Here is a 16,615-nt window from a genome sequence, read left to right on the forward strand (position 1 = left end):
CAAGATCGCACCACTGCACTCCAGCCTGGGTGACAGAGTGAGATTCCATCTCCAAAAATAAAAATAAAAAATAAAACAGTGGGAACATAGTACTTTGAGCAGTGTTTGCCCGTTCAGAACATGATCATTTTTCATTGATGTGCTGCACTTCCATCTGTGTTGGCCAGTTGCTTTTTCTTGTATCCATTTTTACAGAATGCCACATGGGTTTCACACTGGCAGACAAGGAGGCAACACAGGTCACAATTTGCTGTCTGTGCATGAACTGCTGACAGATACTTAGGGACCAATCAGAGACTGACTTTGAAAGAAGTGTTGCAATTGGTCAGTGATCATTGTACACATCTGTTATCTACATTTTGATTTGTGGACTGGAGAGCGGGCAGCAGAGCTTGTACTTAACCAGGATAACTGAAACTTGTATGTATCAGAACCATGCAAAGAGAGGACTGCCTATAATTCAGGACTGATTAGAAAGTTTTCCTAGGCCGGGTGTGGTGGCTCATACCTGTAATCCCAACACTTTGGGAGGCCAAGGCGGGTGGATCACTTGAGGTCAGGAGTTCGAGACCAGCCTGGCCAACATGGTGAAACCCCGTCTCTACTAAAAATACAAAAATTAACTCGGCCTGGTGGCGCATGCCTGTAGTCCCAGCTACTCAGGAGGCTGAGGCAGGAGAATCGCTTGAACCCGGGTTCACCGCAACCTCTAGGTTGAGATTGTGCCACTGTACTCCAGCCTGGGTGACAAAGCAAAACTTCGTCTCAAAAAGAAAAAAAAAAAGTTTTCCTAAAGGGAATAGCAACCTAAAAAGTAAGATTTCTGATGTATTTGGTTCAGAAGACTGTTGGGAGGTCATATCTGGGGCCTCAGCGCTGACAGTGCCTGTGTACTTTCAGCCTGGCTGGTGTGGAATGTGGTGCTCCCATTCTCTCAGGCCCTGGAGGTATGTAGGGAGGGAAGGAGGAATTGTCAGTGTTGAGTGCCAAGGTGGAGGTTCAGATCTCAGCTCTGGCGTGTCCCATGTGGACCTGGTCTGGTGTCTTGACCTCTGCGAGCCTCTCTTGCCTCCCCTGTAATAAAAGGGGAACCCCGGTGAATGCCTGCGGCTGGGTTGGTGAAGACTGAATGAGCTTCTCTGGAATAAAGAGTAAACACTTGGGAAGAAGCTCTGCAGGCGGAGAGAGGAGGAGCCCGTGGCATCCGGGATTTGGACAGGTGGAAGGCAGGAGCAAACCAAGTGTTGCAGGCCCAGCCCTGCCAGGTGTCTCTCCAGAAGGTGTGAGACGCAGAGGCCACTGTCTTCCCTCTGAGGACCCCTTGGCTTCCTCTGCTATGACATGAGTGCAGGGATCTAGTTGATGAGCTGCCACTGCGGACCATGGAGGCCCCGGTTGTGTGGCCGACCCAGCCCCTGCAGGTCTGGACAGGTGGGACCTGTCCACTACCCATGTTTTTGGGCTGGCTGAGCATGCTGATCTCCCCCTGCCCAGGAGGCCCCACCCCAGTCCGTGGGTCCCCCATGCCAGTGCCGTGTGGTCTGGGACTCACTCTTGTCTCACCTCCCACCCACAGGCAGCTGTTGAAGACAGAGCTGGGGTCCTTCTTCACGGAGTACCTGCAGGTAGGTGGGTCTTGCTCCAGCCAGGCTGGGCCTGCCTCATGAGCCAGCCAGAAAGCACAGGGGCTCACCTGCCCCCGGGGGTGTGGAGCGCCGGCTCCCCCACTGTCTGCCTGCAGTTCCAAGGACCTGCCTCGTTCCTTATCTAGCCACGTGGAATGTTGTGGAGGTTAAATGATAAGATGAGGTGAATTCTTTTTTGAGATAGTCTCACTCTGTCATCCAGGCTGGAGTGCAATGGCGTGATCCCAGCTCACCGCAACCTCCACCTCCTGGCTTCAAGTGATTCTCACACCTTAGCCTCCTGATTAGCTGGGATTACAGGTGCCCACCATCACGCCTGGCTAATTTTTGTTTTTTGTCTTTTGTTTTGTTGTTGTTGTTGTTGTTGTTGAGATGGAGTCTTGCTCTGTTGTCCAGGCTGGAGTGCAGTGGCGCGATCTCAGCTCACTGCAACCTCTGCCTCCCGGGTTCAAGCGATTCCCCTGTTTCAGCCTCCCCAGGAGCTGGGATTACAGGTACCCACCATCTTGCCCAGCTAATTTTTGTATTTTTGTAGAGACAGGATTTCACCATGTTGGCCAGGCTGGTCTCAAACTCCTGACCTCGAGGTGATCTGCCCGCCTCAGCCTCCCAAAGTGCTGGGATTACAGGCGTGAGCCACCGCGCCCGACCAATTCTGTACATTTCATATTGGTGGCATAACACGGCCTGCGGACTTTTGTCTGGACTCTTTCTCTTAGCATCAGGTTCTTTCTCATTGGAGCACAAGCCAGTGCTTCATTTCTTTGTGTGGAGATGGGCTGCATTTTGTGGTCCATGCTTTCATTGGCGGGTGCTTGGGTTGCTGAGACCACACAGCGTGGTTCTTGGCCGAGCCACCCCAGGCAGTGCGTCCAGGGTCCCTGAGGTAGGATGGCAGCTGACGGGCCCGGCCTTTGGTAATCAGAGTCACCTCTTGATGCAAAGTCCTTTCTTCACTGTGGGACATGCCAGGCTTCTGCCTGCCCAGCTGAGCCCAGTGCAAGGAGCTCTAGGCCCTGCCCACCTCTCGGGATGTCCGTGTGACCACCTCCTGTCTCGTGACAACCCGGGGTTGGGTCAGTTACCCTCCTGGATGAACTGATGCTCAGGCCCTGCAGCAGGTGGACTGTGGGACCTCAGTGAGTCTCCTCCCCCTTTAAGCCTTGGCTGCTCACTGGTGGATGGACTCTCGGGGGCCCTGCTGGCCAGGACACCCCCGGGCATCCACAAGGGCGGTGACAGCCCCTCTGTGTTTACCTTCAGAACCAGCTGCTGACAAAAGGCATGGTGATCCTTCGGGACAAGATTCGCTTCTATGAGGGTGAGTGTGGGCCCCTTGGCGGCCACTCTGGGCCATGCTGGGTCCTGGCTGGCTGCTGGACTGCTGGGCCTCGTGCTGGGGGCCTCTGGGTGCAAGGTGTGGCTCTCTGGTCCGGAGGGCTTGGAAGGAACACGTATAGCCTTAGGGCAGCAGGGCCGAGATCCTTACCCAGAGGGAACCCTGGGAGAGGGTCTGCCCCCCGAACTTGCTGGAGCCCAGGAGGGCTATGAGACATCGGGGAAAAGCCCCCTGCTTCCCCTCCCTGCCCACGGGACTTTCTGGCCCTAGTGAGCTCTGTCCCCGCAGCCTGGGAGAGCCCCTGTCCTGGTCTTTGGGGGTCAGAGGAGAAGTCGGTTAGGGCTGAGGTCACCGATACTCACAGAGGAGGGGACAGGGTGGGGGACTCAGCTGAATTTTCTCTGTCGAGGCTCACAGCCACCCACTGGGACCTTCAGGTTATTGTTCCTGAGTGGGAGAGTACAGTGATGATAAGTGATTTGCCCAAGGCTACAGTGCACATCAGGGGTGGGGGCGGGACTCAAACCCAGGTCTGCCTGACTTTAGGGCACACACCCTTTGCCCTTCTCACGGCCCGGAGGTCCCCGCTGGCCTCACTGTGCAGGTTGGGCTTCCCGTGGCCGAGAGCCTCGGGCAGCAGCAGCAGCGTGCGCATCCTTGCAGGAGCGAGCTGCCCTGGGAGCGGGGTCAGGTGAGGGGGTCCACTCAGTTCCCACGGATGCTGCTTTGCTCGGGCTGTGCTGGGATCGGGCCTGCGCTGTACCCGTGTGTTGAGCACCTGTGCACTAGGCACCGGGTGTGTGCGTCCCTCCGTGCTGGACTGCCCCGAGTGTTTCACATCTACTAACTCATTTGATTTCCACAACCCTGTGAAGAAGCCACCGTTGTTAGCACTGAATGAATGGGGAAAGTGAGGCACGGTGTCCTGCCCAGGCCACACAGCTGCACCGTGGCAAGGCCAGGGTGCCAAGCAGGCCACCGGGTCCCGAACCCATACTCTTCACTCTGCTGCCCCAGGCTCCTCCTCCAGGTCTCCCTCTGACCCTGGGAAAAAGAGCTACTAGCCCACTCCACAGAGAAGGACACAGGCCCGGAGGCCTGGCATGTTCCAGGGGACCTTGGAGCTGCGTGTCATGGTCCTTCCTCACGTCCACTGAACATGTTGGGTGGGGCCAGCCAAGACAGGAACACAAAGAGAGGCCATGAAAACCATCAGACCGTCGGGGAGACATGGGGGTTCTGGGAAGGCTTCCTGGAGGAGGCAACATCTAGACTGGCAGGACAGAGCTGTGAGCATTTGGCACCTGACGAAGATGGCCACCCACGCCCCTCGCTTGATGCGGCACATTCTGGCGGTGCCTGTACCTCCCACCAGATCTGGCCTAGGGGAGCCGGGGCTCTCGGAGAAGGGAGTTTTGTGTGGCTTGAAAGGAGCTCTGCGTGGGACAGCCAGGTCTGCCAGGCCTCCCAGCAGGGGTGCCTGCCCAGCAGAAGGGGCAGAGGACAGCCCTGGGAGGCCCAGCATCCTCTTCTGCCTCGCCAGCCCTTCCTGGCCTCCCCAGGTCTCAGGGACAGGCACTGGGCTCTACGCTGGGAGTCTGAGGCCCTGGCCTCCAGTTCCCATGTAGCTGCAGACACAGGGTTTCCTCTCCAGCCTCAGCACCCCTGTCTTAGCAATGTGGGGTTGAACAGGCTCTGTCCACTTGAGTGTTCTCTACATGTCAGGCCCAGGTGACCTCTGGGAGCCCAGAGATGGAGGAGAACCTGGCCCTGCCCTTCAGGGACTCACAGCCCAATTGGGGACACAGACACGGACCCGAGGGTGACAGTTGAGTGTGATTAATGTCATTGTGAAGGAGTGTCCTGGGGAAGAAAGGGTTCATTCCACCTTGGCAGTCAGAGAGGGCTGCATGGAGGCAGTGGCCCTTGAGTAGGGCCTCAAAGTGTGGTCTGTTCAGGGGAACTTGTGGTCCCTTTTGGCCCCATGCAGTGGGGACATAGCCACCTCCACATCCTGATGGGCGGCCTCAGGGGCCTCCCCCTTCCTGCTCCCTACCCCTGCTTGGGTTCCACTGGGAGCTCTTCACTTTGAGCCTGCTCCTTGCAGCTGTCCCTACAGAGCCTCTACCAGAGGTGGGTGATGGCCCCCTGTGGGGAAGCCCCAGGACCTTGCCCCCTGCCCCTTCTCAGCCTCCAGGGAGGCCTTGGACTTCAGCCCCTGGGCAGAGCCGGTCCTGGAAGCGGAGAGCCTGGAGGAGTGGCCTTGAGGTGGAGGGCTGCCTCCCTAGGAAGGGGAGGAAGACTGGACCGCGGCCGGGGTTGTAGTTTGATGGCCTGTGTGTGGCTTAAGGGAATCGGCTCCAGCTGCAGCCAAGCAACTCCTTGGAAGCCAGAAACTTGGGAACTCTGGGCGGGAGCTCCTGGTCCTCTGCTGGGCCCTGGGATCTGCCGTCGCTCATCCACCAGGGAATCCAAACCCGGTATGGGTCACGTGACCCAGCTGTGCTGCCTTACACGCTTGCCTCCATGCCTGTGCCTCGGCCGTCCCCGCGCCAGACACCCTTGACCTGGTCCACCCAGCGCGTGGCTTTTGTCACTGCCCTGCGCTCCTCACTGTTCCTGAGTCTCCCGACGGGCTGAAACAGGGTTGTTGGTTTGCAGGGCCTGCACAGGGCCCTCAGCACTCGGATAAAGAAAGGAAAGACGGACACCAGCCTGCGCCCACAGCGAGAACCCCAGAGTGGGAGCCAGCACGGAGCCAAGGCTACTGCGGGGCCGCTCGCCTGCATCAGCCCCTGCTACTGCCAGGCTGGAGCCAAGGTACGGCGCGCACACACCCGGCCCCGTCCTGCCGGCAGCAAACGCCCAGTGCTGTTTCATCTCAGCTTTCGACCTGCCCACGTGGGGACGTGTATCACGCCCCTTTCATAGAGGATGCCACTGAGTCCGCCTGGAGGAACTTCCTGGGGTCGCCCCATACCTGCCTCCGACTAACCCTACTGCCCCACAGAGGGGCCCCCACAGGACAGGCCCCGGCAGAGAGCCCCAACAGCCGCGAGGCTGCCCTTCCTGGCCTCTCGTCACCGTGTGGCTCCAGCTGGGGCCTGGATTCTGTTTTACAACATCTGCTTTCCGCAGCATTTCCGCCCCGTGGGCTGGAGAACAGCCTGCGCTGAGCAGAACGCAGGCCTGGCCGGTGCCCAGAGCCACCCCCCGGCCAGCCCGGGAACTGAGCTGCCTTTCTTCCTGCCGCGGCGGAGGGGGACTGAAGGGACTTTGTGTGTGGGCACAGTTCGGCGGGGCGGTGAGCATCCATCCGTCCGGGGCATTCCTGCTGGCCCCCATCACCCTCAGAGCCAGGTTTGGGCTACCCGGGTGGGCAGAGGGCTGGCCACTGGGCTGGGAGCCAAAGATGGGACCCAGTCCAGCTCGGCCCCAGCCCCCAGGGCTGCCCCTGGCGGGGTCCCACTCCTAGTGCCCTCGAACCTACATGAAGCTGGGGGCTTCCGGGAGTGGGGGCAGGGCCCAGAGAGTGAGAAAAAGGCAAAGGTCCCTGTTCAGCCTCCGCATTCCCATGGAAACCTCAAAGCAGTTCTGGCCGGGGGCGCAGCCTGAGAGACAGCCGGCAACGCTTCCCTCTTCACTCAGAGGCGCCCACACCAAGATCTCTCTCGCCAGTTGTTCGTCTGGCTTCCAGGGGACAGCAGAGGCCTTGGGGACACGTCCTTGGACTGTGCATCCCTGGACCCAGCAGCCCTCATCCCAGCTCCGCTCAGTCCAGGCAGAAAGGCCAAGGGTTCTTCACGTTGCCTCTCCCACTGGAACCCAGAGCCAGCTTGGGCAGCTGTCCCCGTCCCACAAGGGTCACTCACCTGGTGCATGGCACCGTTCCTCTCAAGGCCAGCAGAAATCCTACAGAGCTGGTCCCGATGTCTGCTACCTACGTATCTGTTTCAGAGACTCACCTGTCAAGATGTGTCCCCATACCACTACGTCTGGCAAGCCCAGCTCCTATAGCCAGCTTGGATGCTCTTCCTCCAGGAAGCCCTCCCTGCCTGACCCTCTGCACCCTCTTCTTCCTTCGACGTGGTGCTGCTATTGGAAGGGGTCTCCGTGGATCCCCAGACCTGACCACAGGCAGAGCTGGCCTGGCCCTGGGTCCTCTGGGCCACTGACTGTGGTGCACCCTTTCCTCGGAGGCTCAGCCTCTGTCTGCTTGGTGGGGGGTCGATCACCCCTGGCTACTGCCCTTATGATCCTGCTCAGTGTCCCACTTCCCTGTCATGTGATGGATGGGCAGCTGTTTGGGGCTCAGCTGGGTCCCCAGTGCCCAGCATCAGCGCCAGCACACAGTAGGTGTTCTGTGTTTGTTGGAGGGGCAGATAGTGTGGGGGAAGGAGGGAGGAGGTCGGTGGGTAGAAGAAATCAACTGCTTAGCCGGGTTGTTAGGAGGATCTGATGAGACTAGGATGTGAGTTGAAACTGCTGTGCCAGGCACACCTGTGTGGGTCTCACTTGTGCCAGGCATACCTGCGTGGGTCTCACCTGTGTAGGTCTCACCTGTGCCAGGTGTACCTGTGTGGGTCTTACCTGTGCAGGTCTCCTGATGCAGGTCTCACCTGTGCCGAGTGTACCTACCTGTGCGGGTCTCACCTGTGTCAGGCGTACGTGTAGGGGTCTCACCTGTGAACGTCTCACCTGTGCCAGGTGTATACCTGTGTGGCTCTCACTTGTGTGGGTCTGGTATGTGACAAAGGCCTGGGAATTGGCAGCTGTCATCTGCCAGGAGCAGACCCTGAGCCAAGTTCCCTGTGCCTTAGGCTCATTTCATGCCCTCAGCTCTGGGAGGCCAATCCCTTTACTGCCACATTTTATAAATGGAAGACTGAGGTTAAGCAGTGGGCCCAGGGCCATAGAACAGCTGAGCTGTGGAGCTGGACATCGACCTTGGGCAGGTGCTGCCAGGGGCCTGAGCCCAGGCCCTCCACTCCCGCATCCTCTGATGACCCATCCTGGGTGAGTGGAGGCATCTGCCCGCGCCAGTCAGGCCCAGTGGTGATGGCCCCCATGCCCACAGGACAGAAGCTGCTGGACTCACTGGCAGAGACCTGGGACTTCTTCTTCAGTGACGTGCTGCCCATGCTGCAGGCCATCTTCTACCCGGTGCAGGTGGGCAGCCCAGCCCTGGGGAGGGAAGCCCAGTGCCCCTGCTGTGCCCACCCTGGCCTCACTCTACAGAGGGGGGCCGCCAGGCTTGGGGACACACACACCTGCTCTGCTCTGTGCTGCTCTCCTTGGGCTACCTGAGTTGCTCAGAGCCTGTTTCCACCCCTTCAAGCTGCAGATATGGACGCCTCCCTCCCTGTGAATCCCCCAGCAGCGAGGCACAGCGTAGGGGCTCTGTGACAGTAACCCTTTCACTGCCAGAGGAAACTGAAGGGGCCCTCTATCCTTGGGACGGGGTCATCTGAGGAGAACGGGGTGGAGGGGCCTGAGGGTCGGCAGGTCTCTTCCCCCTGTGGGGTCCCAGGACCGGGAGAGGGGAGATGAGGACGCATGTGACCACAGCCGGTGGGGTGGGGTGCCTTCCGTCCACAGGGCAAGGAGCCATCGGTGCGCCAGCTGGCCCTGCTGCACTTCCGGAATGCCATCACCCTCAGTGTGAAGCTAGAGGATGCGCTGGCCCGGGCCCATGCCCGTGTGCCCCCTGCCATCGTGCAGATGCTGCTGGTGCTGCAGGTGGGCACAGTGGGCAGAGGGTCGGGCATGGGGACCGTGGGGCAGTAATTGGGCTCAGGTCCCCACAGGCAGAGCATGAGATGAGGATTTAGGGGCACGAGACTTAAGGAAGGGCCCGATCAGAGGAGAAGCCTGTCAGGGCCAGGGACCGGGGAGCAGCTGGTCAGAGCTGTGGGTGCAGGAGAGCTCAAGCTGCAGACCCGTTCCTCTTGGGCACAGGGCTGGGCCTTTACACCCTGTGTCGGCCAGCCTGGGGCTGTGCCCACCCCCAGCACGCACACGCACATACACACTACACACATACTTGTGCACACGCACATAGTATGCACGTGCACATGCATACACACCACACACGTGTGCACGCACACGCTACACACATGCCTGTGTGCACGCACATACTACATGTGCACACGCATACACACTACACGTGTGCACGCACATACTACACACGTGCACACACGTGCACACGCACATACTACACACTGCACACACACACCACACACGTGCACACGCATACACACTACACACGTGCGCACGCACATACTACACACGTGTGCACACATACGCGTGCACACGCATACACACTACACACATACATGTGCGCGCACACATACTACACACGTGCACATGCACATACACACTACACACATACTTGCATGCACGCACACATACACACAGTGTCCCAGTCATTTCTGCCCAGAGGGCTTTTGTCAGTGGGTCAGCTCTGGGGAAGACACTCTGAGAGCTGTTAGCCCCCCTCACAGCAGGTGGGGAGAGGTGCCTGCCCCAGAAAGGAGTGGGGCCCCCAGTGGCATCCACCGCAAGCCAGGGGTTTCTGCACACGGCCCTTCCCAGGCACCACACTTTGCAGTTGGCCGGCTCATCACACTGTCGCAGGACCACACAGTCACTGCCGGCCACCCCATTTTACAGGTAGGGGACCCAAGTCCTGCTTGCTATGAGCTAATAAGGGCGGGAGCCCAGCTTCACCCCGGCTCTCGCAGGTGCAAAGCCCTCTTTATCGTTCTGAATCCCCGTGAAGCTCTTTTAAAATTAGGGTCTGTGAGGACACTCGGGACCCTCACAGGGCAACCAGAGCAAGGAAGGGGCGGCCAGTGTGGAGCTGTGCAAGGTGGGGGCTGCCCTGGGTGGAAGTTGAGAGAGTTTAGGTCAGGCCTGGCTGGGTTGAAGCGGGGACCCTTGAGGGACTTTGCTGTGTCAGCTTCAGCTTCCCGGTCTTTAACAGAGGGAGGCCTCCTCCCTGGCAGGATAGGTGAGGACTTGGTCATTCACAACCAAGTCACTGCTCCTACAGGCAGACAATTCCAGGGACACGTGGGGTCCCCTGTGTTAGTGTAGGTGACCTTACTGTGGGCACCTGTGGAGTCCCACCTACTCATTGTAACACAGGCCAGGACATAGGAGCCTGTACCAGCCCCGAAACCCCAAGAGTTCAGGCGACTTTGCTCACCCCCAGGGACGTGGCCTGGACCGTGCCTCACTCCCTGCCTGGAGTGGCCTCCCACAGCCATCCCAAGAGTCCTGGGTTAGTCCTCGCCTCTGGCTGGCTGGATTGTCACTTACAATTGTACCTGGGTGTGGCCGGGTGCAGTCACTCATGCCTGCAATCCCAGTACTTTGGGAGGCCAAGGCAGGCAGATCACAAGGTCAGGAGATTGAGACCATCCTGGCCAACATGGCGAAACCCCGTCTCTACTAAAAATACAAAAATTAGCCGGGCATGGTGATGCATGCCTGTAGTCCCAGCTACTCGGGAGGCTGAGGCAGGAGAATCACTTGAACCTGGGAGGCGGAGGTTGCAGTGAGCCAAGATCGCACCACTGCACTCCAGCCTGGTGACAGAGCGAAACTCTGTCTCAAAAAAAAAAATTCTACCCCCGTGTATCTTGTCCCTGAACCCCCTGACAGCCCCTTGAGGCCTGCTGTCTTCCATTCATTCACTTATTTAATGAGTGCAAGCACTCGTTATAAGTCAGCTTTCTCCCAGCCCTCTTTGCTGGGTGCTGAGGTCCCAGAGCTTTTGTCCCAGCTCAGCGCACAGCTGGGTGAGCAGCCTCATCTCCCGGGCCTTGGCTCAAATACACCTGGAGGTAGCGGTGAGCCCTTCAGAGCTCCGGATGAGGGGAGATGATGGCGTGAGCCAGTGATGGGAAGAAGAGAGTGGGGCTTGTGAGGTGGTCCCTGATGGATGTGGACTGCACCTGGCCCCATGGGGCAGGGAGCCCCAGGTGAGCAGCTTGGCCCTCCCTGCGTGGGGTCAGCCAGTGTCTCTGGAGAGACTGTCCAAAGCCTCTAGGACTCTTGAGTACAGGGCCCCTCCGAGGGGTGGAAGGTGCAGAACACCCATCTCATCTGGCCACAGGGCCTTTTTCCAGGGCACACCATGGTCTCCCAGATCCCGACGCTGCTGTGAGCAGCAGAGTGACTCAGGCCACATGCTCTGAGAGGGGCTGGGAGGCCACCGTGGGCCCTGCCATGGGGACAGAGAGCCTGTGGGAATGGGGAGGCGGGAGGCAGAGGACAGGCTGTCTGGTGGGTGGGACATATGGTTGAGAGCCTGGAGCCACCAAGCTCGGGTGCATGACCCCCTACCCCCTGCCCCACTCTCCTGCAGGGGGTACATGAGTCCAGGGGCGTGACTGAGGACTACCTGCGCCTGGAGACGCTGGTCCAGAAGGTGGTGTCGCCATACCTGGGCACCTACGGCCTCCACTCCAGCGAGGGGCCCTTCACCCATTCCTGCATCCTGGGTAGGGGTCCGCCTGGGCCTTGGGCTGGGGCAGGGGTGACCACGGGCCCCATCCATTGTGAACAAATGGGCAAGCCGAGGCCCCACGACAGAACCAGGATCTGACTCCAGACTGGTTCTCAGCCGGGCAGCAGCCCCCAGCCTGCCATATGCTGGCCTGGACGTGGGGATCCGTGAGAGTGGGCACACACCCTGAGCGGTGATGTGGCAACACCTTGGAGAGCTCCACCAGACCTCCGTGTTCCCCAGGAGGCCACATTCATGTGCAGTCTTGAAAGTCAGAAGTGGGCCAGGCGGAGTGCTCGGAACATGCAAATGCCGAAGCTTGAGGACTCCTGGCTCAGTTAGGGGACCCAGGCTGGGAGGGACTCGGCCTGGGGGTGGGCAGGCTGAGCCCTGTGGGCAGCATCCCGGGACTGCTTGGCGCGTCCAGCACAGCTGGCCACGTTGCTCCCTTGACGGAGGGCCTCTGGGTTCCTTCAGCAATGTCCCTTGAGTACCTGTTGTGCCCCATCCCGAGCCCACGCCCTTCCCCTCCCGCGGGGGAGGCCGACCAGTGAGTCTCCTCCACGACCCACCATTAGCTGGAAGCTGGGAGCATCCCAGGCAGAGGGGACAGAGCTGGGGCAAGGCCCGCTTGGGACTATGCCCTCCTCATCCAGAGGGGCTCCCCGTCCCCACCTGCTGGTGTAAAACCTGCCCACTGGTGTGTCTCAGCTCAGGCAGTGCCCTGGCTGCTGGAGAACTTTGAGCCACCCAGGCTTGGTGTAGCCCTGGATGGCAGGACCCCAGCCCCTGCCTGATGGGACCCGCATCCTCTGGTCTGGGAAAGGCCCCTGAGCCGCTCGTGTGTGTCGCCCGCCACCTGGTGGCCACTCTTGGGATTGCAGGGTCCTGCATGGGAACCTGAACCCTGCCCCCCAACCAGCCTTGGCCACCTGTGCCACTGCCTCCCGCCCAGATGAACCAAGGGGCCTCCTCCCTGGGTCCCCACGTCTACCCTCAGCCCCCACAGTCTATTACTCTCCACGCAGCGGCCAGCGAGGCCCATTTACAACTGCCTGGCTACAGGCTCCCCGCATCCCCAGGATGGAATCCCCGCCTTGACCTTACATGGAGGGCCTGTCCCCATCTGCTCCCATCACAGCCCCACAACCTGGCCCCATGGCTCGCCTCTTTGGGCTTCTTGGCCCTCCCACCATCCCCTTGGACACCAGCTCCAGTGGGGCAGGGGCTGCGCCTGCCTGGGAAAGTACAGGTGTCCAGCAGGTGCCAAAGTCCATACACTTCCACAAGTGGGGAAACTGAGGCACGGGGGTGAGGTAACTTACCTAAGGTCAAACAGAGGTCGCTGGCGGGGTGCAGGTTCAAACCCAGGCATTTGACTTGAGGTCCTGTGTGACCAGGCTGGGCCTAGGCTGGAGAAGAGAGACTGGAACCTGAGCTGGTGTCAGGGCTTGTGGCGGTGGGACCTGCTGAGCCGGGCCCCGGGTCGGGCCTTCCCTGCAGCTGCCCCTGCACAGGGACCCAGTGTGCAGTGAGCAGCAGGTGCCAAGGCGGGCGGGGACCCAGGTGGCCTCTGGTGTGACAGTGCCCGTGTCTCTCCCCAGAAAAGCGCCTCCTCCGCCGCTCCCGCTCGGGGGACGTGCTGGCCAAGAACCCTGTGGTGCGCTCCAAGAGCTACAACACGCCTCTGCTGAACCCCGTGCAGGAGCACGAGGCGGAGGGCGCGGCGGCCGGCGGTACCAGCATCCGCAGGCACTCTGTGTCGGAGATGACGTCCTGCCCCGAGCCTCAGGGCTTCTCCGACCCGCCCGGCCAGGGCCCCACCGGGACCTTCAGGTCCTCCCCGGCGCCCCACTCAGGGCCCTGCCCCAGCAGACTGTACCCCACGACCCAGCCCCCTGAGCAGGGCTTGGATCCCACCCGCAGCTCCCTGCCCCGCTCCAGCCCGGAGAACCTGGTGGACCAGATCCTGGAGTCCGTGGACTCGGATTCTGAAGGGATTTTCATTGACTTTGGCCGGGGCCGGGGCTCTGGCATGTCCGACTTGGAGGGCTCTGGGGGCCGGCAGAGTGTCGTGTGAGGCCTCACAGCTGGCCTTGAGTTTTTACTGACACGTCCCTGTGTGCGGGGGTGTCCATGTGGCGTGTGTGTGAGTGAGACTTTTTTACTGCGTCCCGTCCCGCCAGCCCTATCGGCCTCGTCACTGGCCTTGGTCACTTTGTATTTCTGTCTTGGTTGGAAATACCATCAGCCTTCCTTGCTCGGCCCAGGTCTGTTTCAGGCATCTGAGTCGGCGTTTACCCAGGGGCCGGGCCAGAGACGGGGGTCGGCCGCTCGCTCCCACGCTCCTCCTGCCCCAGCCCTCTGGTGTCCACACCTGCCCACAGAGAATGTAAACCCAGTGGGCTCTGCCCACGCCGGGCCCCAAAGTGACCAGACTCCAGCACACCTGTCTCCTCCTGCCTGGGGTGGCCATGGGGATGGAAGGGGGTGGAATAAAACCTGTCAACCTGGCTCATGTCTGCAGTGCCTGCCCTGGGGGCGCCCCTTCAGGGTGCTCACCCTCAGGCCTTCGCTCCCTTCTAGGGAGCGCAGGTTTCCAGGGTCTGTGTGGAGGGGGCAGACCTGTGCCTGTTGTCCAGGCCTCCCTACTGCTCCACCGTCCCTGTCCCTGATGGGAGGACCGGGAGGTTGTGGAAGGAAGGGCTGGGATGCTAGGGAGTGGGGCTGGCCCTGCCGCACAGGAGTCTGGCCCTGACTTTGCCCCTGGCCTTAGCAGGGATGGACTCACTGAAGCCTTTGAAGGAGGGAAGGAGGGGTGGGGGCGGGATCTGCCAGCTCCTCCCGTGCTACAGAAGCGTCCAGGTGGCCTAGGGGGTGGGGGTGACCTGCTGAAGGCCATCCGGCCTGGGAAGCACAAACTAACACCTGCTCTGACCTCCCCTGCAGCCTCACTATCCCCAGACAGGCTTTCCCCGGGCCCTCAGGTGGGCAGGATACCGCATCAGCCGTAGCAGGCAGGGCTCTTTGTTCCCCCGTCAGTGGGGCCCGAGTGTTACTGAGAGCCAAAGGCCAGCCCAGCACCACGGGCACCCCTACTATCGGGGCAGGAGCTGAGCCTGGGGCAGCCTTCCCTAGCCACCCCCGCCGTTTTAAAGCATCGGGTCAGCGTGGCCTCCATGGGGAGGGGTGGAGGGGTCTCTAACGGCGGGCACCTTTCCACACCCCGTTCACCTGCTGATCTGCCACCCCCGCAGCCTTCCACGCGCTCGCCTCTCATGGCGTTTTCTCAAGGTGGGAAAGGAGTGCTGAGCAAATGAAGGACAGGCCCAGGGCAGGGGAACCAGGTGTGATTGGAGGGAGAGGGTGGGTGTGAGCCGGGCGTGAGCAGGAGGACGTCACCTGACCCCTGAGTCACGGCCGGAGCTGGCCCAGGCTGTCTCCCAGCAGAGCCTTCTGGATGGAGGAGTTTCCCTCTCTGGTGGGAGAAGCAGACCTGGCGCCCCTGCTTCAGCTCAGGATAGGAGGGTGTAGGGGTGGGGGCAGGGGGAGCTCTGGCTTTCTGACTCTGCTGAGCCGCAGTTTTGTCATCTGTGATACGGGTGCATACCAACCCTGTGGAGCTCTCTGAAGCTACTCGGAATGGGTAATGTGCCCCAGGCAGGGCTCAGCTGGGCAAGTAGGGGAGCAAGAGCAGCCTCGGGACCCAGGCCTGGGGGACAGGTGGTCGTTGAACAGAAAGCCAGAACCTGGTCTGAGAACCACTAAGCCAGGCTGATGAGGCCGAGATCCGTGGACCAACCTCTTTGGCTCCCAGCTCCATCATGGAGCCCGAGGTGGCCTGAGGCGGGGAGTAGTGGGTGACCATTAGCAACATGGGCAGGAGGGTTCCCAGCGGTCACCTCAAGGCAGGAGGACCAAAGACCAGAAGCCGTGGCAGGGAGTTGCTGTCTGGGCTCTGTCCACACCAGGGTGCTAGACCCTGTGTTCTGTCCCCTGAGTGGTGGGGGTTCCATCGTGGGGGGTCGAGCATCCCTGGCCCCTGGATGCTGCCGGGCCTGGGGTGGCCCAGGGACTGGTGGCCCCTGCTGGCTGGCACTTGGACCCTTGGCAAGGCAGTCCCTAAGCTCTCAGTCCTCCTGCCCTGGGGCAGGAGGGGAGGCCCCTGGGCAGCAGCCAGCAGCATCCCCAACCACAGATTGGGGGGCTGCAGTCCAGGAGGGTGGGTGCTGGGCCTGGGCCCTGCAGCAGCTCACAGGACTCAGTGGGGGCCCCAAGGAGGTGAGGAGGCTGCACTCCCACTCCCAGAAAGCAGCAGCCCACCAAGAGGGTGTGTGTGTGTGTCCTAGCCTTGTTCCCAAAGATGTCAGAGGTGATCTGCATTCAGACATCTTATAAATTGGTAAACACCTGTAATCCCAACAGAGTCTCGCTCTGTCACCCAGGCTGGAGTGCAGTGGCGCAATCTCATCTCACTGCAACCTCTGCCTCCTAGGTTCAAGTGATACTCCTGCCTCAGCCTCCCGAGTAGCTGGGGCTATAGGCATGCATCACCATGCCTGGCTAATTTTTCTATTTTTAGTAGAGACGGGGTTTCACCATGTTGACCAGGTTATTCTTGAACTCCTGACCTCAGGTGATCCGCCCACTTCGGCCTCCCAAAGTGCTGGAATTACAAGCATGAGCCACTGCACCCGGCCCTTATTTATCTTTTAAGGAATAGAGTGACTCAGGGAAGAGGCGTGGGAGACCGTGTGCTCCATCCTGTTTGGTCTTCAAGGCATCCTCCTGGAGAGCTGCGCCTTGTCACAGTCAGGGCTCGATGAAATTATGTTGACAACAGAAATGAGCAGACACGGCTTCTTAACATTTGCTGTTCTGTCTTCCACACCCTAAGGTTTGTTAAACGAGTGAAATCGGTGGTTAATTAGTTAGTGGTTGGTCTACCATCGGCATCACCGGGGTGTCCAGTGGGGTGGATTCCTCTGCATCTCCAGGGCTGGGGTTCTAGAAACTGCTTTATCGTTGTTGTCTTTTGTGTGCTTGTTGTAAGTTTTGTGCAGGATTCTCGTGAACGCTCTACCCCTTACCTCTCAAATGCACAATCTCAGGCCC

The 16,615-nt window shown here is 60.2% G+C and overlaps 2 protein-coding genes across 7 annotated transcripts in view, besides 3 other annotated features; both read left to right on the forward strand.

Moving 5' to 3' along the window:
• PRR5 (proline rich 5) overlaps positions 1 to 14,014 on the forward strand; it is a 68,931-nt gene extending 54,917 nt beyond the window's left edge. For all 6 annotated transcript variants that reach the window (NM_001017528.3, NM_001017529.3, NM_001198721.2 and 3 more), the window contains 6 exons: positions 1,577 to 1,625; positions 2,910 to 2,967; positions 8,063 to 8,154; positions 8,584 to 8,724; positions 11,360 to 11,495; positions 13,105 to 14,014. In NM_001017528.3, the coding sequence (NP_001017528.1) occupies positions 1,577 to 1,625; positions 2,910 to 2,967; positions 8,063 to 8,154; positions 8,584 to 8,724; positions 11,360 to 11,495; positions 13,105 to 13,580 (952 nt within the window). In that variant the 3' untranslated portion in view covers positions 13,581 to 14,014. The remainder of the gene's footprint in view (positions 1 to 1,576; positions 1,626 to 2,909; positions 2,968 to 8,062; positions 8,155 to 8,583; positions 8,725 to 11,359; positions 11,496 to 13,104) is intronic.
• PRR5-ARHGAP8 (PRR5-ARHGAP8 readthrough) overlaps positions 1 to 16,615 on the forward strand; it is a 160,581-nt gene that overhangs the window by 21,464 nt on the left and 122,502 nt on the right. Inside the window, exons 3-4 of the mRNA NM_181334.6 lie at positions 1,577 to 1,625; positions 2,910 to 2,967. Coding sequence (NP_851851.3) covers positions 1,577 to 1,625; positions 2,910 to 2,967 — 107 coding nt within the window. The remainder of the gene's footprint in view (positions 1 to 1,576; positions 1,626 to 2,909; positions 2,968 to 16,615) is intronic.
• Positions 142 to 436: an enhancer, noted in NCBI's record as "tiled region #7347; K562 Activating DNase unmatched - State 9:DNaseU". NCBI's record gives its function as "activates a minimal TATA promoter and a strong SV40 promoter by Sharpr-MPRA in K562 cells {active_cell/tissue: K562}" and the evidence as "EXISTENCE:reporter gene assay evidence [ECO:0000049][PMID:27701403]".
• Positions 1,018 to 1,519: an enhancer, noted in NCBI's record as "H3K4me1 hESC enhancer chr22:45120565-45121066 (GRCh37/hg19 assembly coordinates)". NCBI's record gives its function as "activates a minimal SCP1, AML or CMV promoter by ChIP-STARR-seq in primed H9 embryonic stem cells {active_cell/tissue: H9 hESC(primed)}" and the evidence as "EXISTENCE:reporter gene assay evidence [ECO:0000049][PMID:30033119]".
• Positions 11,956 to 12,544: an enhancer, noted in NCBI's record as "H3K4me1 hESC enhancer chr22:45131503-45132091 (GRCh37/hg19 assembly coordinates)". NCBI's record gives its function as "activates a minimal SCP1, AML or CMV promoter by ChIP-STARR-seq in primed H9 embryonic stem cells {active_cell/tissue: H9 hESC(primed)}" and the evidence as "EXISTENCE:reporter gene assay evidence [ECO:0000049][PMID:30033119]".

Source organism: Homo sapiens, chromosome 22, assembly GCF_000001405.40.
Source record: "Homo sapiens chromosome 22, GRCh38.p14 Primary Assembly".
In the NCBI taxonomy this organism is placed as follows: Eukaryota; Metazoa; Chordata; class Mammalia; order Primates; family Hominidae; genus Homo; species Homo sapiens.